Here is a 26,556-nt window from a genome sequence, read left to right on the forward strand (position 1 = left end):
GAGCTATGCACCTCGTACTCAATAAAAATTTCTATAAGGGTAGAACACACACTCAGAAAAGCCATTTATACTATAGTCAGGGTAGAAGAATGGAGGGATGAAAGGTGAAGTAGGTAAGAAATATATCAAATATGAAATATAGATAAACTTAAGGGGAAAAAAACAAGCAATCACCATCTTAAACAAAACAAGGTTAAAAAAAAAAAAACCCAAAACCAAACCAAAACGAACATCAAGGGAAATAAAAGACACCTTGAAGAAATATAACAATACACACCACGTTCCTGATCAAAAACTACTCTTAGATATCCCTGTTGCAGACTGAACTATGGCTCACCACACGCTCAGGTAACCAGACCTTGGATTTCTGTTTACATACTTTATTTTTCCTTTTTTATCATAATGATTTTTTTCACTCAGGTTTAAAATTCTTTGGTTGAAATTTAATTGTTCTTCTTCATTTAAATATTTTTTAAAACTATATAAAAGCATTTTAAGGTTAGATATGTTTTACTGGTATATAGCTTTGGCAATGATTTGTTTGAACTATCAAAGTTTTTATATTAATGTTTCCTACTATAACCATTTCTCTATTTTCCCTTGTACTTGCAAACAGTTTTTTTGGTATGTTATTTAGTCCAAAGTTAAATATATTTACTGACTGACCCTGGGCCAGGTATCGTAACCATACTTGGATTCTTCCTCTCTGTTCAAAGACTAAAATAGAAAGACTAATCCCTTAGATACACTGAAATGAAACACAAAAAACTGGCCAGACTAAAGGCAAAAGAAACACTTTATGCACTAAAGGGCTATAATGGGCAATCATTCTGTCTTTTCATAAGAAATGTTTGTGATATATTCACATATATGTGATGAATACATAAGCCACACCTTTATTTATGAGTGGGCAGAAAAAAGCCATTATTCAAGGAAAGATGATACTTAAAATGACAAACTCCTTGTTGAAAATAGCCCATGACACTGCCTAAATAAAAGCTCACCAGAAAATAATACCTCCCAGGAGAGGGTGCAAGTTGGGACGGGAAAACTCACCATAAAACTTAGACTTAGCCAGGATACTACCGCTAAGGCAAAATCCATCTTTTCGATTACTAACATAAAAGGCAGATATTGGTGGATGATGGGACACCTATTAAACATAAGAAAAACATGCATATATAAAATATAAAAACATGTTTATATAAAATATAAAAAGATAAGCATATTATTGTGCCATTATCAAAAGTTCAAGTCTTATAATGAGTAAGAAAAAACATTTAATAAGTAGTAAAAATTAAATATTGATGGTTATAGTAACCAGCCTCCTGTCTCCTAATGAGACCCACCCTCCTGGTAGTCACATAGGCCCCTCTTATATTGTACTGAAGTTGGTTTGTGTGGAAGTGACACTATGTAATTTCTGAGATTAGGTTACAAAGCACCTTCCATGCTGGGGGCTGTCTCTCTGCCTATCTCTCAATCATTAGTTCTGAAAAGCCAGCTTTGAGATTGTGAAAAACCCTACAGAGAGGGCTACGTGGTGAGGAACTGAGCTCTTCTGTCAACAGCCAGGTGATGAACCTGGACGTGAATCTTCCAGCCCAGTCAAGCCTGTAGATGACTGCAAAGCTGGCTGACAGTTTGACTGCAAGCTCATTAGAAATCCTGAGCAGGAACCACCCAACTAAGCAGCTCTCAGATTCCTGTACCTCATCATATAAGATAATAAATACTGCTTTAACTCAGTTTTGGCACTAATTTTTTAGACAGCAATGGATAACTAATACAGTGATTAGTCTTCATATGGATTACTGAATGACTATAGGAAACAAAAACAAAAAACATGTTATTTAATAATCTAATGCCTTCAACAATATATTTACTTCTAATGTTCTCTTACATGAGACAAACTAAAATCAGCATTTCAAGCTTCTTAATTTCATGAAGAATTAAATCATTGAGTTTTAAAAAATTAATATAGATAAGTGGTTTTGACTTGAGGGGGTTATCAAAACCTCTAGGAGAAGAAGGTTTTTCAAAGAACACATGGTCTTTTCATTCTCCTTACACTCAAAGTGAGAATTACCATAATAAGGAGCCACTGTTATTGAAAGAGAATGTCGTATTCCTCAAGTTTATGCAGACAGAAGACTGAAAATCATGATTATGGATGTATATGAGTTCAAATTAATGAAAGTTTAAAAATTAAAATATTTTCTGTCTGTATACAACAAAAAGAGAGGTATCATAGGGGAGAAGAGGGAATTAAAGAAGCTAACAATTCAATTAGGAAAATAAATATTCTGTAAAAAGGTAAACGATACAAATGTTAAAATAAGAGCTTAATGGATAATCACAAAAAACAATACAGAAGTTTGAGAAGGGAAAAATCACTGGGAGCTGCAGTCATGTGCATCATGAAGAATAAGCGGGTCAGGGTTTGTTTAGATAAAGAATAGCTAAGAAGAAATACTGGAGTGTGAGAATTAAATTTAAAAATGAGGAAAGAAAGTGCTAGATCAGGTTACCTAGTCATGAACTGCACAGGTTTGACTACTGTGGAGAACTAGAAAGGTATTAATTTGAGATAAATTTGGAAAAGATATAAAGGACTTTGAATGCCAGACAAATGAATGCCACACCACTGAATAATTTTGAGCATGATCAAAAGTTGTTTAGGAAATATGAGCTCAGCCAAAAAAAAAAATTAAAAAAAGGGCAGGGGGCATAGCAAAGGAAAAATAAAGATTTATTTTTGGTCAAAGGATTCCATGACTGTAATAATAGTACCTATGAATATATTTAGTAGTACTTTAGTAGTATTTAATATTAAAAGGTTAAATGTTTACCAAATGTTCAGAAATAAGAAAGGCTAAATAATATTGAGTTTACTGGGTAAATATTTTCTATAAAAATATTCCAATAACTTCCAGATCAGTTTTGTTTCCATACATGCATTTCTAATACCTGTTCAGCAATATAAAAAGTTTTGCTGTTTGTTCTGGGATGAATCCATAAACAACGGAAAGTCTCGCCAAGTATAGGATTATAAGGTTTCTTCAGTCCCTGGTAAAAAAAAAAAAAAGCAATTTCAAATTACAAATACAAAGGATTCAAAATAGTTTAAACTAGTCAAAATGGGTTTAACTCTACCATCTGGGAACCGTCCTTATAAAATTTCAAAGTAAATAAAATTTACATTAAATAAAATTAAATGACTTCAATCATAATACATGTCTAAATGATCAGGTATTTTGCAATTTTGCTACGTCAAAGAAGCCCAGTAATGTAACTGTTAACACACAATCTACAGATTACATAAAATATAAAGAATTCATAAAACACTAAAGACAATAAAATGTAAACAAACATTATTACCTTTGGCTTTTTATAGAATCCTGACAAATACCATTTCACTACTTTCTTCAAACGGAAATAAGGATTTTCTTCAAGAGCTGCCCTAAAACACAAAACGGTAAACAAAAATTTTAAAAAATGTATCACAAATTCTCTCTCACATTTATTAACCAATAACCGAGTATGAAACATGATTGGAAAACATAATTCTTATTTTAAATGGATGACAAAACAACCATGTAATCAATTTTCAACCATGTAAATCAATTTCTGTTTTTCTTAACCTGGTCACATTTTCCCCCATTTTCCTATTCTTTGATACACTGCCTGGGTCTTCGCTAAAGTAGTTTTTGGAAACTCTCCAAACCAAGGTTTCTGAATTGGTATTCTGCAGAACCTGAGATGTTGTTAGGGGCTCTGTGAAAATTGTGATTGAAAAAAATAAACATGGATTTTGGATTCAGGCACTGTGTGATTTCTAGCATTTGCAATGTTAGGCAGTGGCCAAGCAGCCTCATTAACAATTTTGTTAGAAGTCTTCAGCCTCACATGTCACTGAAGGACCAATATTTACTTGGTTGAGTCCATTCTCAGTTGTTGATGTTAGAGGAGATCAATGGTAAACTGGTGGATGCTGTAGTACATGGAGGGGAGGACATAGGTTGACGATAGCCTCTTTTGTGCAAAGTACCTATCTAAATATAGGATTTTATGGGTATGCAGTCCTTAGTACAAAACACAGAAGTTTCAAATTACAAATATGATGCAGAGCCAAAATAATTAAATCAATACGGAAGGTTTTAACCTATTTTTATTCTTCAACCTGCTCTTGTGTGCTATCAACTGATTTTCCAGAATTAATAAAAACTCAACCAGAATAATGGATAATCAAAGAGTAATTTTTATTTTAAAGAAGAAATTTGTAGGAGCCATGACTCAGCTGCCCTCCATACAATTCTGCTTTTGTTGCAATCGTTGCAAAAACCTGATTGTGTATGTCTGAAGTAAATTTTACTGAGAAGTTGATTTTGTTATTGTTGTTTTCTGTTTGTAATGTAGCTACTATGCCCTTATTTACAAAAAGGCATTTACGTTTCACAAGCATGTCTGACAGTCCAATGTGGTGATTTTTTAAGATGAGATGTGAGACAGAAGAGCACAGACCTAGGCTTATTGACAATGGTGCTAAGTTGAAAGCTTGTGCTTTTCTGGAGTAACAACCCTCTGATTGCTCTCTTTCCATCTTGGTTTAAATTCCCTTACTATGCAATTTTATTTTAAAATTAAATATATATAGTTCAAAAGTCAAAGCAATATAAAGAGGTACACATGTCTTGTTACTGCCCCGTCTCTCCACACTGTTCCTACTTACCCTCTATAGGTAACTTTTTAAAAAAGCTTCCTTTTAAGTTTTCTTTAGGCATAAACAAGCATATATAAATAAACAGTCTTGCTTTTCTTAAAAAAGGGTTGCAAACTATACATACTCTTCTGTACACCTTGCTTTTTTCACACACAATTCTGGAGGTCCCTACAGATCAGTTTATGGAATTCTTCCTTATATGGGTGGATGTATCACACACTGTTTAACCAGTACACTGTGCTGGACACTGGAGTTATATCTAATGTTTTATTATTACAAACCCTGCTGCAACAATCTTGTATATATGCCATTCTGTATATGTGGCATTATATCTGTAGGAGTTATTCCGAGAAGTGAGATTAGTGGATCAAATGATGAATGCATCTATACTTTTGGTAAATACTGCCAGATTACCTTCAGGGTGCTGTGCTAGTCTGCACTGCCCACGGTAGTGTATGATAGTCCCTGATTGCCAACAGAATCTTGGCAACAGTGTGTAATGCCAGAAAAGTACAATCTTTCTATTTGAGACAGGGGGCATCTCTCAAGAAAATCTTGTGATTCACAGGAATTTGCCTTACATTCTGAGAGAAATGAATTTCTAGACCGACAAAAGTGCAGAAGATATTAGAACGAGGATATAAAAGCTTTTTGACTTTTTGTCAATGTGGTGGATAAACAACAATAACTTACTATAATTCAAATGTACATTTTCCTTATTTTGCATGAGGTTTTTACATGTTTAAGGACTGTTCCTATTTCTTCATTTTCCAACTGCCCAGTAATTTCTTCCACTCCTTTTTCTGTAAGTTTCCTTTTCTATAGAATCATTTTCATTCAATTTTTAAGAGCTTTTTTTAGGGAGGTTAACATTTTGTCTACGATGAAATTTGCAAAAATTTCCCAGTTTACCAATTATTTTTTGACTCAGCTTATTTTTTTCAATGTTCGCTCATGCCATTTATAGACAAAAACCGAAAATAAGTCTTGATAAAGATTCTAAAAATTAGGTCGCAGGGCCAGATATCAGTGGCACAGAAAGCACAGTGCCTTGAAACACCATTATTGCTGGAATAGGGGCATCAGGTAAGAATTGGAAGCATGGACACAAAGTTGCTGTTCCTTGCAAAGTTTACTGGTTTTCCAAGAAATTGCTGGGACAGAGGTGGATAGCACCTCCTCTGCCTCCTTTAGGTGTGCCTTCTTCAAAATTACACCCAGGATCAGCTGGCGGCTTCAGAAAAGCAAAGAAAATAAGGATTTGTTCCAAAAGCTAGCAACTGGCAGGGCATTCTAGTTCTGGTAAGCCGTACATACCTCACAAGCATGCAGACAGACAAGTATGAGCAAACACAGATGCCCCAGGATGGGACTGAACAAGTGTTTTTGTAGAGGAGAACAAATGATGCCAATCACCTCTCTCTCTCTGTTAGGTTAGTGAACTGAGGTTAAGGAGCCTATAACGGCAGTGTTGTTGAGTAAAGGGTAGAATTCTTGTTTTCCTCGAGCTTATGATATCTCAATTTAACTTCATAAATGGCAACATTATAGCAAAGTATCAAACATGCTTCTTACTAAGGGTCAACCACAGAAGTGGTAGAGAACAGAGAGTGATGTCTCATTAGAGCCTGATTTTGGAAACAAACGATAATTGAAAATAGCATTCTTGAGAATTTCTAAAATCATGAAGTATTGTCTATTTTAAGAAATAAGAATCTACTTACTCAGATAGGAAATCTGCATGATAGTAGTAATCTGAAAGTTTATCCAGGAAAGAACGGGGTTCCAAAATAAATGTAGGCAGAACCACCTTGGATAGGTCCATGCCAGGACGGACTTGTTTCAATAGTGTCCAGATAAGGCTTTTGTTTTCTTCAGATACAGTTTCTGTTTGAGAAGCCTCACCTGCCTTTATCAATTAATGAAAATTACCAAAACATTATATTTATTTCAGACAGATATGTAAACAAGCCAGCTAATGTTGAAAATATGAACTCTTCTCAGGACTACTCCAAGCATTCTTTAAATGTGGAAACAAAAAATAATAATAAAATCTATAGCTATAAAACTTAGGTAAAAAAGGGTAGCTGAAAAAGACATCAAAGTGAACAATATATACAAGAGATCCACTACAAAAATATTATAGCCTATTATTTTATACTACATTTACTTCTATGATGCACTGGCAATAACAAAGTTATAAACTCACGTTTCCTTGCAACTTTGCACCTGGCAATGACATCAAGCAATATCCTACTTCAAAATCAAGCTTGAAGAAAATGTAAACTTTAAATTTAATAGAATATATTGGTATTTATGTGAGTATATGTGTTTAGTTGTTTGTAAATCCCAATATATTTCATATGTATGCAATTTTTAAAATATCACATTCTATCACAGAAAAATAGGCAATAGATCAAGCAAATAATATCTTCAATTTCATTTAAGAATTCCCAAGAATATGAAAATCCAGAACCTCTAAAAATAGCAGACTTTTACCTCTCCAAGTTCTTCATGGCTCTGTTCAGTGTAGGTAGTCTCCTTTAAAGGCTCAACAGGCTCAGGTTCGATATATGAGTCATCTTGTCTTTCTGATGTATCTGTGTCACTTTCTTCACTTTTCCCCATCACCTCATTATCAGACTCATCATGTTCTTGATCATTTTCTTTATCAGATTTATCAGAATACATATCTTGGTCCTTAAAATGTTGTCGTTCAATTTCACTATCATTTAACCTTAAGGGAAAGAATTTTTAGGAGGAAGAATCAAGGATGTTAAGAATGCTCAATTCATAAATAATAATTATATACAACATTTATTGAGAATTTACTATGTGCCAGACAGTGTTCTAAGTGTTTTACATAGTGTTAATTCACTTAATCTTCAAAATAACCCTATGAGATAGGTAGTATTATTATTCTCATTTTACAGATTAGTAAACAGAGGCATAGAAAAATTAAAAACCTAGAGAAATGCAAAAAGATGACACTCTGAGCTCTTTGCCTCTCTACCACTTGGGGCTAAAATCCTCCAAAACCAAGAGTTTAGACTTCTTGTTAGATATTTTTCTTAGTTTTTCAAACAGCATCACTTGCATCAATCTCACTGTCACTTATGGTATGAAGAAAAAATGCAGGTCCAGATAATCAGATTCTCAACTGAACTCAAATAAATTATGACTTTCCACCTGTATAAGAAGGTTTCCAAAGTCACCTCACATGAGTCCAAGAAAAATATATGAAAATGGTAAATGATAAACAATTATATTAAATTCTATTCGTCTGAAAGGTTTAATCCTGAGCCAAAATCCAGAGAGAATTAAAAATGAAAATTTCAGCTGAAAGAAATTAACCTATGGACTAAAATCAAGTAAGTTTTGCTTAATCTACCCTATTCTCACTTAAAGTGATTAGGGCAAAAAATCTGTACAAAAGGGGGAAAGTCTTGGAAAGAGGTTCCAACAAATACCCATTCCTCTATCAGTAGCCCACCCCATTCCATCCTATCTCATTCGGGCACCAGGTACTTGGGATTAAGATAAAGCTCCAGATCGTAGGTCTGCAAAGAAATAACATAAAAGGTCAGGTAATGGAGATTTTAAAGAGAGTGGGGGAAAAAAGAAAAGAAAAAAAACCTGGGCAACATAGTGAGACTATGTCTCAATAAATAAATAAATAGATAAGCCAGCCAGCCAGCCCAGTGTGGTAATACAGGCCTGTAGTTCTCACTACTGGGCAGGTTGAGACTGGAAGATGGCTTGAGCCCAGGAGTTCCAGGTTACAGTGAGCTATGATTGTGCCACTGCACTGCAGCCTGGGCAACAGAGTGAGTCCCTGGCTCTAAAAAATTTTTTAAAGTAATACAGACAGAAAAAAAAAAGAAACAAGCAAAATGATAGGGAAGAAATGTCTAAATCAGGCAATATGAAGAAGAGGAGAATAGCAGTCTAACTTTGAGAAGAGCAACCTCAATGCTGATGAAAGTGGTTACAGAGCAGAAGCCAAGGGGTGGGGACAGGGAGGAAATAGAAAAGTCTAATGTTTTTCCTGCAAAGCAACAAAAAGACCTGAATCTCAAGAAAGTCTTTGCACTACTGCCCAGTTTCCTTGGAGAAATGCTTTTTTAGTGTTAACTACAATAAATGCTTCAGGGAATAAAACCACAAATAGGATACAGTTCCATTCCAAACAGAAATATAAATGAATTTCACAAATACCAGGTAGAGTTAAGTCCAGTGCCATTACTAAAAACATGTTACTCTATAGAAAGACAGATTATGTCTCATAGTTATAAGGTTTCACACATGATGTAATATTTGAGACTGATCTTGAAGAATATATAGACAGGAGAAAAGCGTAAGGAGGAGTAGGCAGAAATCATTCTTAATAGAAGGGACATCATGCACAGACAAGGTGAATAATTAGCATGGCTATATTTGGGAAAGATAAAGTAAATCACGTTGGCTGGAATCAAGGAAATACATTTCTACACCTGATTATAGCAGCTAAACAAATTTTAAGCCGGTTCCTAGGCCATATAATGGGAAGATATGCAAATTTCAGTCCTAGATACACTACTAAAATTCTAGGCCTGCCAACTAATTTTGTGAACAGTATGGTCTCTGAAACATTACCAACTCAGCGGCAGTATCTACTTACTGGAAGTTATCACCACTGTGGAGATTGTTAGCACGTAGTAAGCCATAGAAAGTCACATGTGTGCTATCTGATGAAACGCTCAGGTCATGTTCCTTTCCTTCTCTGATCATTGTACGTTTAAGAAGACTAGAACATTTCAAAGCCAACTCCAAAGCATCCATCCAGCACCTTCCTAAAAGAACACAGATTCATAAGCACTATAATTTTTAAAACTATGAAACTAGCATGCATCTTAACTTACCCTGTTACCACTATTTCTTTGAGAAACATGCACTGGAAAAGTTAATCTGAACATAACATCTTGCTAGAATTTAATGAAATCTTTCCGTTTTTCAAATGCTTTTCACATACTAAGCACACCACTGATAAATGAATAGTATACAGCATGCATTAGAAACTATACCCAATCTAAAATAAACATACTTTATTTTTCAAATCTTAGAACATTAACATGCAGTATAATTTGAAGGTATCAAGCAAGGTACATAAAATACACTTGAGGATTTATGATTCTACTACAAACAAACTATCTGAAGTAACTGTTTTTGTTAATAGGAGGTCTATCCTCAAGATTAACAACCATTCTACTTGTATGTATGAAACTTTTTAAGTCAGGAAAATGCCTGCATAATGCTACCATTAACTGCCATATTAGTTAAGAGAAACATTAATAGTTTTATTTTTTAAGTAAAAATTTAAAAGTGAATTAGCAGAAAACTTTTCATTTATATTTGTTTAGGGCTCTTAATTTTCATATATATCACTTCAAGATTTGCTGGGAATATCAGCCAAGTAAAGCATCTTCATATTGAAAGCTCATACCTATATTTTAATTTAAAAAAATCATCGGCCAGGCGCGGTGGCTCACGCCCGTAATCCCAGCACTTTGGGAGGCCGAGGCAGGCGGATCACGAGGTCAGGAGATCGAGACCATCCTGGCTAACACAGTGAAACCCTGTCTCTACTGAAAATACACAAAAATTAGCCGGGTGTGGTGGCAGGCGCCTGTAGTCCCAGCCACTCGGGAGACTGAGGCAGGAGAATGGCGTGAACCCGGGAGACGGAGCTTGCAGTGAGCCGAGATCGCATCACTGCACTCCAGCCTGGGCGACAGAGTGAGACTCCGTTTCAAAAAAAAAAAAAAAAAAAAAAAAAATCTGAGGCCAGGTGCGATGGCTCACGCCTGTAACCCCAGCACTTTGGGAGGCCGAGGCAAGCGAATCATGAGGGCAAGAGTGTGAGACCATCCTGGCCAACATGGTGAAACCGTCTCTACTAAAAATACAAAAATTAGCTGGGCGTGGTGGCATGTGCCTGTAATCCCAGCTACCCGGGAGGCTGAGGCAGGAGAATCACTTATACCAGGGAGTCAGAGGTTGCAGTGAGCCGAGATCGTGCCACTGCACTCCAGGCTGGCAACAGAGCGAGACTCCATCTCAAAAACAAAAACAAAACAAAACAAAAAAAATCAGATAAAAGTAAACTTTGGAAGGTTAGAAGATTCCCTATACCAACCTTGTCTAAACTATGAAACATGAAAGCATGAAAGTGAGGACAAAATCCATTATTAATTATTAAGATTTTAAAGTTACCTTGATATCATTTAAGTTTTTCTCTCTCCATATTTGCTTCATGAATTAAGTGTTAAAGGAGGAATAAAAAAGGTTGTACTCGAATCTCTTACATAAAAAAAAACAAAACCAAAACAATGTATATGTCTCATAAATGGTAACATTTAGTAGTAAAATATAAAAAGTATTAAATATATCTTTAAGAGTACCATAAAGACCACTAACAAATAAAAAGGTGTTAATATGTCCATGGAGGATGAAGAAGAAAACTCTGAACTGCTAACTCTTCAGTAAATCACACAATGCTTCCTTTCTATCAGATTTTTGTCTATTAAGTTACTCATATATTTAGCATTCAAAACAATTTATGATTACCATGCTTCTGCTGCAAATGCCATACTAAAAATATATTTCCCCAGAATAATACAAAGTGGCATTAAAAAAACTCTTAAAAATGAAGACCAAAATCCAATCCATCAAAAACTATACTTACCATCTGACTCTGAAGTAGCTCGGATGATCAAATAACTGCTAGGTAAGGGTTGAGTAATGGATCCAACCGCTTCACCTTTTGGACCCTTAATAACAAAATAAACAAAATAAATGGTATAGAGTAATTATTATGAGATCTCATCTTTACACTATCCAATATTATCTGTAATAATCTAAATCAGGTATGGATTATAATCTAAAGGCAAATGAGCTTTAATTTCATCATTCTTGAGAATGCAAATGTTAAGTATTAAGAAAAATTTTCTAACAAATATATCTCCTTAGCAGAAAACTGAACAAATGAATTATCACTTAAATATTATCTCTACATACTGCTTACATACTAAAGAGAACCTAAAGTTTACCATATTAAACCAAATTTTAACAATGTCCATCCCATGGATACAACTAATGAGATAAGAAATACTAAATTTCTAGAAGGCTAAAGAAAGCATGTGGAAATAGAATTATAATTTAAAAAAAGAGAAATGAACTTTAACTGGGTCTAGGGAAAAATAAATCTCCACTTTATAACCAATGACATACACCTGTTTTTAAACACCAACTATATAAGCTGATTTTATTTTTCCAGAAACATGAAAGAAAAAGAAATTCTGTCGTTGTTGTTGGCTAGGGTTGTTTGTTTTAGAAGTATACAATACCAACACTAATTAGTATCACCAATGCTAAACTTAGGTAGACACGAATCTGGAAAGAAAACTAAGTACTGAATTTAAAGTATAATTTTGATACAAAAGCATAATTTTTAAGTTGTTTTCAAAGGGTTCTTTAAAGTTATTAGGTCAAAAAATGAAATAAATTTCCAAAAAGCATAACATTAGAAAGTAAAGATGTAGATTCAAAACGAAAACAGAAAAAAAATTTAATATGACTTTAACAAATACCGTAATAATCTGCATTTTCAAATAGCTTTACAATTTATGGGCCAGTTCCTAAAACCAGTATATAGTGGGACATGGAATCAGACTGCCTGGGTTTCAATCATGGCTCCATGCTAGAAAAACAGGGTTCAATCTCTTTATGTGTACAATGGGAAGAAACTGTATCCTCCTTATAGGTATGAGAATTAAATAAATGATTTCATGTAAAATATTCAAGTACCTGACACAAAGAACTCATAGCTGTTACTATTTCTTAATCACAAACACTGGCTTCTAAAATATTTAAACAATATCCTAAGTAGGTTTTGCTTGTGGGAAGTATTTATATAATTATACAGATTTCTCTCTTCTTCCAATATTAAGAATTAAATATTATAAATTTGACATTAAAATCATTAATGGCTTAAAAATTTATTTTAATGCTTGCAATTCCTAAGAGTAGTAGAATACTATATATATATATACATATATGTGTGTATATATAGTATTTTTGTATATGTATATATATGGTATTTATATGTATGTTTATATATATATTTTTTGTTGTTTAAAAAGGTTTTGAAAGTCGTTTTCTCCACTTGAGAATCGCTTAATATATAAATGTCAGAGGTTCGGGGGGTTAAATTCTTTCCCCTGCAGGAAGCACCTAACCTCAGAATGGAACTAACTCGGTGATCCCAAATGTATTCTCGCTGTGACTCCCGACTACTGAAATAACGATTAAAAAGTCCAAGTCTTTTCCTAGGTGTATGTGTATTACGTTATTAAGCAATACCCTCCCCGCCCAAGAAAAAAGGATTAAGCTACTTTTAGTTAACCGTAATCTCAATTAGTTGGTTTTCCCTAAAGGAGAAATTCTACCTTCTTTATTCTACGATAGCTGGCCTTCTTAGAAACTAAAGCAATGATCATTTCGTAAAAACTTAAACTAGGCTAGGCATGGTGGCTCACATCTGTAATCCCAGCACTTTGGGAGGCTGAGGCAGGAGGGCCCAGGAATTCAAGACCAGCCTGGGCAACACAGAAAGACCCCATCTCTACAAAAAATGTTTAAAAAAATTAGCTGAGCATGGTGATACGTGCCTGGGGTCCTAGCTACTTGGGGGGCTGCGGTGGGAGAACTGCTTAAGCACGGGAGGTTGAGGCTGCAGTGAGCAATGATCATGCCACTGCAGTCCAGCCTAGGTGACAGTAAAACCTTGCCTAAAAAACACACATACATACACAAAACCACTTAAACTTGATTCATTTATTCAGTTAGTATAATGCTTGTTTGTTTTTTTTGAGACAGGGTCTTGTTCTGTTGCCCAGGCTGAAGTGCAGTGGCACGCTCATGGCTCACTGAAGCCTCCTCGACCTCCCAAGCTTAAGTGATCCTCCCACCGCAGACTCCTGAATAGCTGGGACTACAGGTACATGCCACCATACTTGGCTAATTTTTGTATTTTTTGCAGAGACAGGGTTTCACTATGTTGCCCAGGCTGGTCTCGAACTCCTGAGCTCAAGCGATCCAACTGCCCTGGCCTACCAAAGTGCTGGGATTATAGGAATGAGCCACTGCACCCAGCCACAGTAATGCTTTGCAGTTATAAAAAACATTAATGCTTCATCTTTAAAGAAACCTGCCTCTTTCTCAAGAGTAAGTAATTAAAAAAAATTTTTTTTTTTAAGAGTAAGAAAGATTGCTTCTGCTTATAGGCTTTACATCACTACAGGAAAGACCATAAAAATAAATGGCAGTTTCTGTTCCAGGGAATCCTACTTACCATTTTGACAAAGAGAAAAATCACAGGGGGTGGGGAGGGGGGGTGGGGGCAGGTGGGTGGGAAAAAAAAAACCAACAACAATAAATATAATACAATGTTACAAAGCCGAGTTAGTAATTAGAAACTGAAAAAAACAGTACAAATTGAATCCCCAAGGGCAAAAGAGATAAAAAGATGCAATATAAAAAGTTAGACCTCAAAGGTAAAGCTTTTTGGTGCACATTTTGTTGTGGGTAGAGGCAGAATGGGGGAATAATGCAATGGAAAGCAGAACAGATTTATAAGTCCTGGCAGAGGACTAAACTCATTTGATTGATGTATCTCAGTTCTATTCATGGATTATCATCTTTACCTTTCACCTATGTAACAAGGGCTTACATACCTTCACTGCCCAAATAGATTGCTCCAAAGGATGGAAAAGTTTGAAACAAAAGCCATCCTTTTTTGATGGACGTTCAATGATTTCACAGGCATTCAGAAGAACTGTTCCTACCCACTGACCATTTTTTTGGGTTTTATAGATCAGTAGCACCCCAGGTTTCAACACACACCATAACTTGGTCCAGCTCTTTAGAGTACCACGAATCTACAGAAAGATAAATTTATTTTAAAAAGGAAGATCTGTTCTCCAAGGTCCAAACGAAAATACTGCAAATAAGATGTTTTAATCTAAAATTTCCATAACACGTACACTTTAAATATTTTATTTAAAAGCTACTACATGGCAAGCACAGCAAACAGACATGAAAATGACATGGCTCTTATTTCTAAGAAACTTAAATTTTAGTGGGAGACAGGCCAACAGTTTCAAAGTAGTGTACTAAGTAGGATAATTTTCCTAATCTCCCTGACCAGGTCAGGGGCCATTAAAATATGCTTTCTTAGTACTGATATTCTTCTTTTTCTAACACTGATCATGGCTGTAATCTTATTTGTGTGCATATGATGATTCTGCTTAAAACAATTTTTCCCCTTCACCACATCAACAGTGCTGAAAACACTGCTGGCACACACTAGGCATTCCCTAAGTATTTGGTGAGTGGTAGGAAGAGAAAATAACTTCCTCCTAGCCCCTAAAATTACCTTATTCAAATTACTTTGTTCCTAGTAATTACATAAAGTATGCCATTTAAATTTATTGGAGGATATTTTAAAATCAAGTTACATGAATCCCTATACTCTCATAAAATGTTCTTCATCCTAGGGTTTAATGCTATGTCAATAGTAAGTCTAAAACTACTTTTTCTATAAATTTCTATTTCCATCATCTATTAAAATGGTGTCTATGCAATTCAGTGAATTCAAAATAGTGAAAGGATGTTAATATTTAGATCAAAAATAAGAATTATACTTTTACTGTAAAACATCTGTTATTTCAATGCACCTACATGAAGTATGAAATAATACAGGATTCCTTAATCCCCCAAATAGGCGTATCACAGTAACTCTCAACAAGAAACATTTAGAAAGAAGGAGTTGGGAGCCAGGCATGAAGAAAAGAGAAAATCTAAGATACATGTATATGTAAAAGAATGGTAAGACAAGAGAGGCGAAAGGGAGATAGGTACCCTGAAATAACATTTTGGATCATGGAGATGCAACAGAACATGGAGGACAAATTATCAGAAGGAAGGTAAGGCAGAGAAAGTCAGCCAGGCCAGGCAACGTGTTGGGGACTTAACAGAGGGCAGCTTTAACTCTGAAAAACCTAAGTGAGATCTTGAGCTAATGCACTTCTAAGTAGAGTCAAAACAAGTTGGAAGGTGTTATTAGCACAAGATCGAAAACCCTAGAATTAGTTAACTGAATTGTCAGGGAAACTATCACTAGACTCTCATTTTAGTGAGGGGAGTCCTATGACAGATTTCATAAGGATTATGAGGTCAGAGGCCTTAGTAAGTCTTGGCAAAAGTGGGTTGGGGTGATTCTCAGGTACATGCCAAGTACTAAAATTTTCTGTGAGTCAGAGTCCTACGAGATCACTCTTAAACTCAGGATTCCTACAGCTGTCTTTCAGATAAGAATGAGAAAGAGGATAGAGTGACCAGGATGAAAGAAAAGGAAAGAAAAATAACCAGAGGCCAAAAGAATAGGGTCTGGAAACAGCAATGTGTGCTTGTCTGATAATTAACAATTTTCATTTTTTAACAATATATTATGTATCCAACTGATTATTTTAAAATAGCTTTTATATTAAGTTTGTCTCATCCTTTCAATAATATACCAAGTATATGGAATACTTAACAATAATTGGAATAGCAAGCAATGTATTTTTTACAGCATATTGTATTAGACAACATATCACACAAACCAAAAAGCTTTTTTAAAAGAACTATACTGTATGTAATTGATGCTATTGTTAAGAAAGACATTAAGATTCCTTCTCTTCATTAAGATGGGAACACAGAACCTCCGGGAATACAATAATAGTTTCTTTGCCAGTGAAAAACAATCATTTTAGGAGCTGTTTTTGTCTTGTAGGCGTTAGGTATACTCCAGGCTTTTCCATTCCAGTAGGTAAACATCCAGCAATCTGAATTCATGATTCAAAACACACTGACCTTTAACCAATCAGCCATAACAATAACAGAAGGATCTGTGATTGTACTGAGCAGCTCCTTTGTGGCTCTTTTCTTTTCTTCTCGGTAATTTTTCTTTTGTACCTATTTTATAGAAATAATAGAAAAGATAAAAACTCAACAGAAATGAGCAATTTATTTTAAGTTCAGGGGTACAAATGCAGGTTTGTTATATAGGTAAACCTGTGTCATGGGGTTTTGTTGTACATATTTTATCATTCAGGTATTAAGCCTAGTACCCATTAGTTACTTTTCCTGATCCTCTCCCTCCTCCCACCCTCACCCTCTGAAAGGCTCCAGTGTGTGTTGTGTCCCTCTGTGTGTCCATGTGTTCTCATCATTTTGCTTCCACTTCTAAGTGAGAACATGCAGTATTGGTTTCTGAGTTAGTCTGCTAAGGATAATGCCCTCCAGCTCCATCCATATCTTTGTAAAAGACATGATGTCATTCTTTATTATGGCCACATAGTATTCCATGGTGTACCACGTTTTCTTTATCCAGTCTCTCATTGATGGGCATTTAGGTTGATTCCATGTCTTTGCTATTGTGAACAGTGCTGCAATGAACATATACATGCATGTGTCTTTATAACAGAATGATTACATTCCCTAGGTTATATACCCAGTAATGGGATTGCTAGGTCGAATGGTAGTTCTGTCTTTAGGTCTTTGTGGAATCACCACACTGTCTTTTATCCTAATCTAGTATTCTAAAGAGGTTTAGAATTTCATACTATAATGGTGGAGTAGAAAAGTCTAAACCGCTGTAGAATTCCAGAATCTTACAATAAAAATACTGTATTTTTTTTTTTTGAGCAGGAGTTAGTCTTAGACAACCAAGGTTAGAATCTAGTTTTTCTGATCACTAGTCCAGTTCTATGTATCTTTTAAATAATTTTACCTTTTTTTTTTTTTTTTGAGACAGTCTCATTCTGTAACCCAGGCTGGAGTGCAGTGGCGGAATCTCAGCTCACTACAACCTCCGCCTCCTGGGTCAACGCAATTCTTGTGCCTCAGCCTCCCAAGCAGCTAGGATTACAGGCATATGCCACCATGCCTGGCTAAGTTTTGTATTTTTTGTAGAGATGGGGTTTCACTATGTTGGCCAGAATAGTCTTGAACTCCTGGCCTCAAGTGATCCGCCCGCCTCTCAAAGTGCTGGGATTACAGGCGTGAGCCACCACACCTGGCCAATTTTACCTCTTTTTAATTACACAATGCATAAACACAGCCTCACAATAAAAATTTCAAACATAAAGCTAGAACCCATTTTTATTATACCCCCAACCTATTCCAATCCTCTGAATTGATGACTGTTAACCTTCTGGAAAACACTGTCTTTTCAGACCTTTTCTAAGTAACAACCTATAGAAACATGTAGATGTTGTGTTCAGCATGCAAAAAGGTCCCCCAATAAACATTTTTTGAAGAGTATTCATGTCTGTATCATTCTCATTATTTTAAATGTTACATAGGATTCCAACTGCAAATTAAAATAATAAGAGAGCTAACCCTGAGGGCATTCTGTGAACCAGCCACAGTTCTAAGCACTTTACTTGTATTGTCATTACGTCATTTAATCCTCACAACAACCTTGTGAAGTAGAAGTATTATTATCCTTATTTTACAGACACGAAAACTGAGGCAGAGACAGTAACCTGCTCAGAATCACACATTTAGTAAATTGTAGGGTCAGGATTCAAACAGGGGCAAACTAGCTCCCAAAGCTATTTTTTTAACCACTGGCCTATACTGCTTCTATAATATTTATTAATATATTCTCTTACTGATAGAAACCTTCTCTGTTACCAATTTTTTCAAATAACAAAGAATGCCACAACTGTTTGCAATTGGAAGTTTTGCTCTCTTTCCCAATACTAATATGTAAGTTATAAATAATTAAGAAACCATAACTATAAAATTAATTTATCCAAAATATGAAAGTTTCACCTTCATAAGTTAATTCTGATAATTTGAGGAATTAGCAGTGAATAATGAGGTCTTATTGTTGCTTTGTTGTTATAATTTGGATGGGAAAAGAGTGATGATAACCTATTAGTGACTACATTTTTAAAAACTAACAAAATCTTCCACCAGAAAAGTTGCATTTAATGATAAACAGACTAGACATAATACAATTTTAATAATTCTATACCCTCAAAACTTTAGATTTTGGTCTTTATTAACCTATCTGATTTAATATGGGATGCAAATACAAATATATATAGGACCAGGCATGGAACACAAATGGTAAAATAGACTAGTTAGGAACCAGAGCCAGTTGGAAAGCATGTGTTTCTTAAGCTCCAGATTCTATGGCCACTCAGGAAGGTAAGCCCAGTGCTACATATTTCTCAGAGAAATTGGAAATCTGGACTTTTAATTAACTGTTGGGTCAAAATTTTAAAACATTATGCAGGTCAAGTTCAGGCCATGACCCAGGAGTTAGCAATCTCTAATTTCAATGGGTGCCAGAGTTCCCATTAGGAGTTCCACAACATAGTGATAATATACCTAGTTTGGATACAGCTGTACAGAGATAACACATCCTCAGCCTCTGCAGTTGCCATTTGAGGCCTAAAGCAGTCTGCTCTGTGACAGTCATCAATCAATCTTATCAGTTGACCACAGTGTACCATACAAATATTAACATTTTCTATGTGTGCCTGCCTGTCTGTACCACTGGATGTTTTTTCTTTCTTTAGGAACACACATATATATTTATCCTATTAGTCTACTTCCAAACACACATGCAAAGCACAATGTAAATTACCTTTCAGAAACAACTGGAAACTAACCTTAAGAGATTCTTTTTTTGTGAGTTTGCTTGAAGTTGAACTGTCCTTCTCTGAGCCATTATAAAGTTTAGATTCAGACTGAAATCATACAGAAACAAGAGAAATTAAATCCTTCAGATTTTCTACACGTCGCATAAAAATTAATGTTAAAATTATGTGACATTTTTCTCATTTATTGCTATGATTTAAGCAAATGTCAATTTTCAATAGAATTTTCCCTATATGTCTTTAAAAATGAATCCATGTTAAATCCATAAATATAAAAAAGTTAAAACTAATCAGTATACAAACCTACAATGTGAAGTTAAATAAGATCATCTGTAGATTTTACATTCTATTTTTTAAGAGTATTTCTAAGAACATATATAATTATTTAGTTATTCTTAGCACAAAAGTAGCCAAAGCAATGTTATCTTTTAATAGTTGAAATATTCTAAAAACAAACAAAGACACAAATTCTAACAAGCTGATGCACATATTGCCCTGCTTCTACTCCTCCTTCAATAGGAAGAAATACAAACACCTTTAGAAACTAGTATTAAGCCACTCTATCTAATTCGTACAGCGTGTAAACACCAATATTTCTAGGATCTACTACTTCCTACCTATCGAGTGAGTAGGATTTCCTCACTAAATTATTCATGTCTTAAATTTCTTTCCAGACTTTCAGTTTACACTTCACATTTTTATTTAATCTTCACAAGAATCTTGAAAAATAGGCACAACAGATTGTTTAATCTCCATTTTACAAATCATGAAAGGGAAGCTCAGGAAGGTTGATTTTCCAAACTAACAATCATTAACATTGCGGAGATCAGAACCCAGGTTTCCTAATGCAATGCTTGTTTAAAGAGACCACATAGGTTTACCAGAGTAGAAAAGCACAAAAGTTAAAAGCTCTATTTATTTTGGAAAAACAAAATTAAACATACTCCTTCAATGTCCATAAGTTTTATTTTTATCTATTGTTAGACATAAGAAAAGGCACTAAAGTTCTTAGCAGTACTCCTAAGCAGTGCCAAGAAAGTATACAGAACTTGATTCAAATGGTGGCTTTCAAATGTTGAGCGGCCAGATGTGCATAATACCACTAGATATCATCAAGGATACACACCTTTGTATACAACTCCCTCAATTTTTAGATTAATAAGAACAGATAACACATTTATTTGTCAATGATACCCAGTGTGTATCACCCGAAGAAAAGAATGAACTTAGTAAATATCTAACGAATTAATAAAATGAAAATAAAATAGGTACTTGCAGCTCATTTCTCTCATCTCTCCTAAAAACACTTCTGCTACTTGGTATGAAAGATGGGCTATTAAGGTGATGGTATTAACTGGCTGAACCAGAAGGGAAATGCAAACAATTCTCAATGTAGAAATCAACCTAGTTAAACTTTTGGGAAAGTTACTCCTTTAAGAATTGGAGTTGAAACATCACATTAATTACTCCAATGATGATGGCATATATTGTGATACCAAAACAATTTCATAACATTCCTCAAGCCAAACAGGTTTCTGTCTTCTCCTTGGCCCTGGGAACACAAAATGGCATGGCTATTGTCAGAAGAATATGATGGCTTAAAATTATTAGGAGATTCTACTTCCCACAACTTAATAGGACAATGTTTATAGTAGTGTACTTTTTAGAAACTATTAAATAAAAAATACTAATAGTATTAGCTTAAAAGTTAATGAACATTCATGGTTGTTTACTATTTACCAAGTACAGTTAACTCTTGAACAACATAGGTTTGAACTGCGTGGGTCCACTTATAGGCAGATTTTTTTTCTACGGAAGTTACACTGAGTGTACCTGCCTTTCTTGCTTCCCCTACCACCTTCTCCGCCTCTTCTGCCTCTGCCACCTGAGACAGCAAGACTAACTCTTCCTCGTCAGCCTACTCAATGTGAAGATAACAAAGATAGACCTTTCTGATGATCCACTTCCACTTAATAAACAGTAAATATACTTTCTCTTATGATTTTTTAAATAACATATTCTTTCCTCTAGCTTACTTTATTGTAAGAATACAGTATACAATACCTATACAAAATATGTGTTAATTGACTATGTTATCAGTAAGGCTTCTGGTCAACAGTACACAATTACAGTAGTTAAGTTTTTAGGGAGTCAAAAGTTATATGCAGATTTTTATATGCACAGGGGAGGGCAGGGTCAGTGCCCCTAACTTGCATGTTGTTCGAGGATCAACTGTATATACGAAATATTTATATACTCAAAGCAAACTTAGGAGATAGTAGTTGTATCCCTCTTTTACTAATGAGGACACTAAAACTAACAGATTAATATCTTTCCAAAGTCACAAAGCTACAAAGTGGATGAGCTGGGATTTGTACCCTACTCTAATTCCCAGCTTCATGTTCTTAGTTATCTCACTATATTAATTTCTTACCTTTTAAAACTGTTCATATGGTATCTTAAAGTTAAGATCTATCTTTATGAACAAGGAGAAATCTGTGGCCGGGCATGGTGACTCATGCTGGTAATCCCAGCACTTTGGGAGGCTAAGGCGGGAGGATTGCTTGAGCCCAGGAGTTCAAAACCGGCCTGGGCAACATGGTGAGACACCGTCTCTATGAAAAATAAAAAAATTAGCTGGGCATAGTGGTGTGTCCCTGTAGTCCCAGCTGTTTGGGAGGTTGAGACAGGAGAATCACCCGAGCCTAGGAGTTTGAGGCTGCAGTGAGCAGTGATTGCACCACTGCACTCCAGCCCAGATGATAAAGTGAGACCTTGCCTTAAAAAAAATCAAATTTGTTTCCCTAACAATTCTATATGATAAGCTCTAGCGTGGTTATTCCTAAAAGATTACTGTACATAGGGGACCAGCAGGTCAGAAGGGTGTCACATGAGCTTGGTAAACCGCCCTCAAGGAATCTTTAACTCACATATCTCAAGGAATCTCTGCCATAACGTGCAGTCTAGTTCTGTAATACAAAAAGGAATGACCAAGTTCCACAGTCTTTTCTAAATTACTACCTCGGTTTTCTGAATCAAAACACCTTTCAAATGCCAAAAATGTAAACGATTTTTTTGTTGGGGATAGTTTACTAAACTAAGTTTCCCTGCCTTCATAAACTTTATTGACCACTCTCTTAATGATGACCATCAAGATAGGCAGGTTTAATGTATACTACTGCTTCCCTCTTTGTTAAATGGCATTAGAATGTTTAGCATGTTATATATTTTTTACTTCTTTCCTTCTCTTTTTCTTCTTTATTTTCCCCTTTAACTGCTATCCCCTTACAGGCTCTGTGACTTTGAGAAGTTAATTTAACCTGTCAGTCTTAGTTTCTTCATCTGTAAAATGAAGATACTACTACTAATTTATAGGGTTGCTTTGAGGGTTAAATGATACTTAAAGTGTTTAACTTAGTACTTGGTAATATATTGTTTCAGGTTTATGACTATATTTCAGATTGCAGGTGCTATCAAAAATCTGACCTTTAGAGATTTAAATAATGGGGCATTTATTTATGAAAATACTTTGCAATTTGCTTTGAAAATTACAAAATGCTACAGATACAAGGAACAACAAGGATAATGATAAGTTACTGTGATCACATCAGACATTTTGGTTTAGAAAGGTTTGTTAACTATCCAGGTAAATGTATATTTTAAAGCAAGTAAAAGATGATTTAGCAAACCTACAAGGCAAATAGTTAAACGGTTGAAAAATCAACTTAAAGAGATGTGAGCTCAAAAACTCCTTATCCTTTTAACAGAATTCCTTTTATCCCACTAGACACATTAGTTATGTTGTAATTCCTTTGGTTGAGATGGATAATTAAAAATTCATTTTAAAATGCTACTTTGTTTGGGATAATCTGATTAACCGACTTTTCCAATTCACTCATTCATACAATGAAAAAGCCTAGGAAAAGGTGCATGAGAAAGAGGAACTGCCTTATTTTTTGAGATGGGTCTCACTCTGTCACCCAGTCTGGAGTGCAGTGGTGTGATCACAGCTCACTGCAGCCTCCAACTCCTGGGCTCAAGTGATCCTCCCACCTTAGCTTCCTGAGTAGCTGGGACCACAGGAACATGCCACCACGTGTGGCTAATTTTTTGATTTGTAGAGTCAAGGTCTCGCTAGGTTGCCCAGGCTGGTCTCGAACTCCTGGGCTCATGCAATTCTTCCACCTCAGCCTCCCAAAATGCTGGGATTACAAGCATAAGCCACTGTGCCCAGCTCCTTTATTTTTAAATAATGTCTTGGGGATGAGGCAGGTGTAATTCATTGTGTTAATCAGGCTCAATCATGAATTTTAAGAAATAACATTTAACCTAAAATCCTGTGACCAAAATGAGAGTATTCATATTTTTTGCATCAAGTTGGGAAAAGTTAAAATTGTTTGATGTCCTCAGTTACACAACTTAAATCATGAAAGGAATAATAAATCTTGTTTTCCAAAATTACTCAGATAAGAATAAAAATCTTCAGAATTCCACAAGTATGAGGTTTAATGATAAATGTATAAATTTTACAACTGTTCTGAAAAACAAGAGAGTTGGTTGCATGCTCATATATATACACAAATTTATATATTTGAGACAAGGTCTCACTTTGTCTCTCAGGCCAGAGTGCAGTGGCGCAAACATGGCTCACTTTCAGCGTCAACCTCCTGGGCTCAAGCATCTCCTGCCTTAGCCCCCCAGGTAGCTGGGATCACAGGCATGTGCCACCACACCCGGCTAATTTTTGTATTTTTTGTAGAGACAGGGTCTTGTCATGTCCAGGCTGGTCTTAAACTCCTGAGCTCAAGCAATCTTCCCATCTCAGCCTCCCCAAGTGCTGGGATTATAGGCATGAAACATTGCACCCAGCAGAATGTTAAAATATTTAAAGACAATGTAGCAACTATAGACATCTTAAGCTAACAGAATAAACTAAGATTAAATCTAAATTATGAGAAAATCAGTAAGTTTCAGCTCTTGGAAAATAATATGATGAGTATAATTTTACTTATATACCAAATAGTTATGTTAAGAATCCCATTCATTCACTCTAATGCTTTATTCATAAGAAAATAAATTCTTAACTATCTACTGTTAACCAGCTTCTTTGTCAGGTACTTTCTGCACCACAGTCTGGGAGGTAAGATCTTACCTCCCGTGAACAAAAAAGAAAACTGAAGCCACTGTGAATTCTAGTTTTAAGACTTACTATTTTGAGTCTTGGGGAATTAATTTGTCTGAGCCTCAGTTTGTTCATTCATAAAATGGGGCCAATAATACCTGTCTTCTAGTATTGTTATGAACGTTAAAATGGCCCAAGTAAACTCTCAACAAAAAGTAGTTATTAAGTTGGGCATGATGGCAATGTGCCTGCAGTCCCAGCTACTTGGGAGGCTGAGGTGAGAGGACTGATTGAGCCCAGGAGTTCGAATCCAGCTTGGGCAATATAGTGAGGCCCTCATCTCTTAAAAAAAAAAAAAAAAAAAAAAAGGTAGCTATTAATGGCCGGGCACGGTGACTCACGCCTGTAATCCCAGCATTCTGGGAGGCCGAGGCGGGCAGATTACAAGGTCAGGAGATCGAGACCATCCTGGCTAACACGGTGAAACCCTGTCTCTACTAAAAATACAAAAAAATTAGCCAGCTGTGGTGGCGGGCGCCTGTAGTCCCAGCTACTCGGGAGGCTGAGGCAGAAGAATGGCGTGAACCCAGGAGGCAGAGCTTGCAGTGAGCCGAGATCGCACCACTGTACTCCAGTCTGGGTGACAGAGCGAGACTCCTTCTCAAAAAAAAAAAAAAAAAAAAAAGTAGCTATTAATATCATTGTAACTAGCAGCTAAAAACTTATAGGTAATAGGAGAGTCAAGATTCAAATTGACTCTTCACTTTAAAGCAGTGCTGCCCAGTAGAACGTTCTAAATGACAGATGTCCTATATCTGAGCTGTCCAGTGTGGCAGCCACTAGCCATATGTGGTTACTGGGCATTTAAGGTGTGACTAGTATAACTGAGGAGCTGGATTTCTAATTTTATTTACATTTAATTAATTTAAGGATCCACATATGACTAGATGCTACTGTACCCAAAGCATAGTTCTAAAGCTTGTGGGTTCCTCCCCGCCCCCCATTAAGGCACACAGCTTCATTTAAGGTATGCAAAGTTCCTTTTCAGGCCTCCCCCTTAAAGGGTACACATAGATGGCAAATAGGTAGCTGTGGTATGTAGGTCTTTGTGTTTAGGTGTTTAGGCTTTTGAGTACGAATACCATTATACCATGTATTCACCAATTCTGGTATTAATTGCTTGAAAATAGATCTTTTTTTTAAAAAAAAAACTATAAATCTCATTGTATTTCTAGCTGTGGCAGACCTAAGATAAATTATTTCCTACTTTCTTTAATAATACAGATCATGTAAAATGATTGACAGGGCTCAAAACTCACTACCCGAAAATATAGGGGCATACTGACTCTTCTAAGCTGAAGGAAACTGAGAAAACTTGAAAAGCAGAAAGGTCACTCTCTGACCTTCTGCCTTTCTGCTCTGAAGCAGGCCACAATATAATTCTCTGACCTTGCCCTGAAGCAGGTGCTCTACCTATCCTTAGAAGAAAGAATCCAAACACACAGAGATACCAAGAAGAAGCTGAACAAACAGGCCTTGCTAAATTCCCCTCAGTGTATTAGCATCTTATAATACCCCTCAACCTTTGTCCAATCATACTTCTGTGACTGTCTGCTCTTCATCAAACCAAAGCATATAAATACACAGATTTCCCTGTTCTTTTGGGTCTTCATTTCTGAAAGCTCCTGTGTCACACAGAACTTATGTTAAATAAATGTGTATGCTTTTCTCTTGTTCATCTTTCTTTTGTTATGGGGATCTCAGCCATGAACCTTGCAATGGGGAAAGAAATATTTTCTCCCATTGGTGATCCAGGCATTTCTCATACATGTTATATAAATACAAAGTACTTTTAAACTTCTAGCCTAAGTACTTTACACTAATATGATAGATGAACTTTTGTGTAATGTATACATAAAAAGTGGGAATAATATTTATGTAAAATCATACATAAA

At 35.5% G+C, this 26,556-nt stretch overlaps 1 protein-coding gene across 20 annotated transcripts in view; it reads right to left on the reverse strand.

Moving 5' to 3' along the window:
* Positions 1 to 26,556, reverse strand: part of OSBPL8 (oxysterol binding protein like 8) — a 207,975-nt gene that overhangs the window by 31,401 nt on the left and 150,018 nt on the right. For all 20 annotated transcript variants that reach the window (NM_001003712.2, NM_001319653.2, NM_020841.5 and 17 more), the window contains 10 exons: positions 19,492 to 19,569; positions 16,676 to 16,777; positions 14,497 to 14,700; positions 11,448 to 11,532; positions 9,384 to 9,555; positions 7,223 to 7,460; positions 6,448 to 6,632; positions 3,382 to 3,463; positions 2,971 to 3,069; positions 1,057 to 1,153 (listed from right to left, as the gene is read on the reverse strand). In NM_001003712.2, coding sequence (NP_001003712.1) covers positions 1,057 to 1,153; positions 2,971 to 3,069; positions 3,382 to 3,463; positions 6,448 to 6,632; positions 7,223 to 7,460; positions 9,384 to 9,555; positions 11,448 to 11,532; positions 14,497 to 14,700; positions 16,676 to 16,777; positions 19,492 to 19,569 — 1,342 coding nt within the window. The remainder of the gene's footprint in view (positions 1 to 1,056; positions 1,154 to 2,970; positions 3,070 to 3,381; positions 3,464 to 6,447; positions 6,633 to 7,222; positions 7,461 to 9,383; positions 9,556 to 11,447; positions 11,533 to 14,496; positions 14,701 to 16,675; positions 16,778 to 19,491; positions 19,570 to 26,556) is intronic.

Source organism: Homo sapiens, chromosome 12, assembly GCF_000001405.40.
Source record: "Homo sapiens chromosome 12, GRCh38.p14 Primary Assembly".
Lineage (NCBI taxonomy): Eukaryota > Metazoa > Chordata > Mammalia > Primates > Hominidae > Homo > Homo sapiens.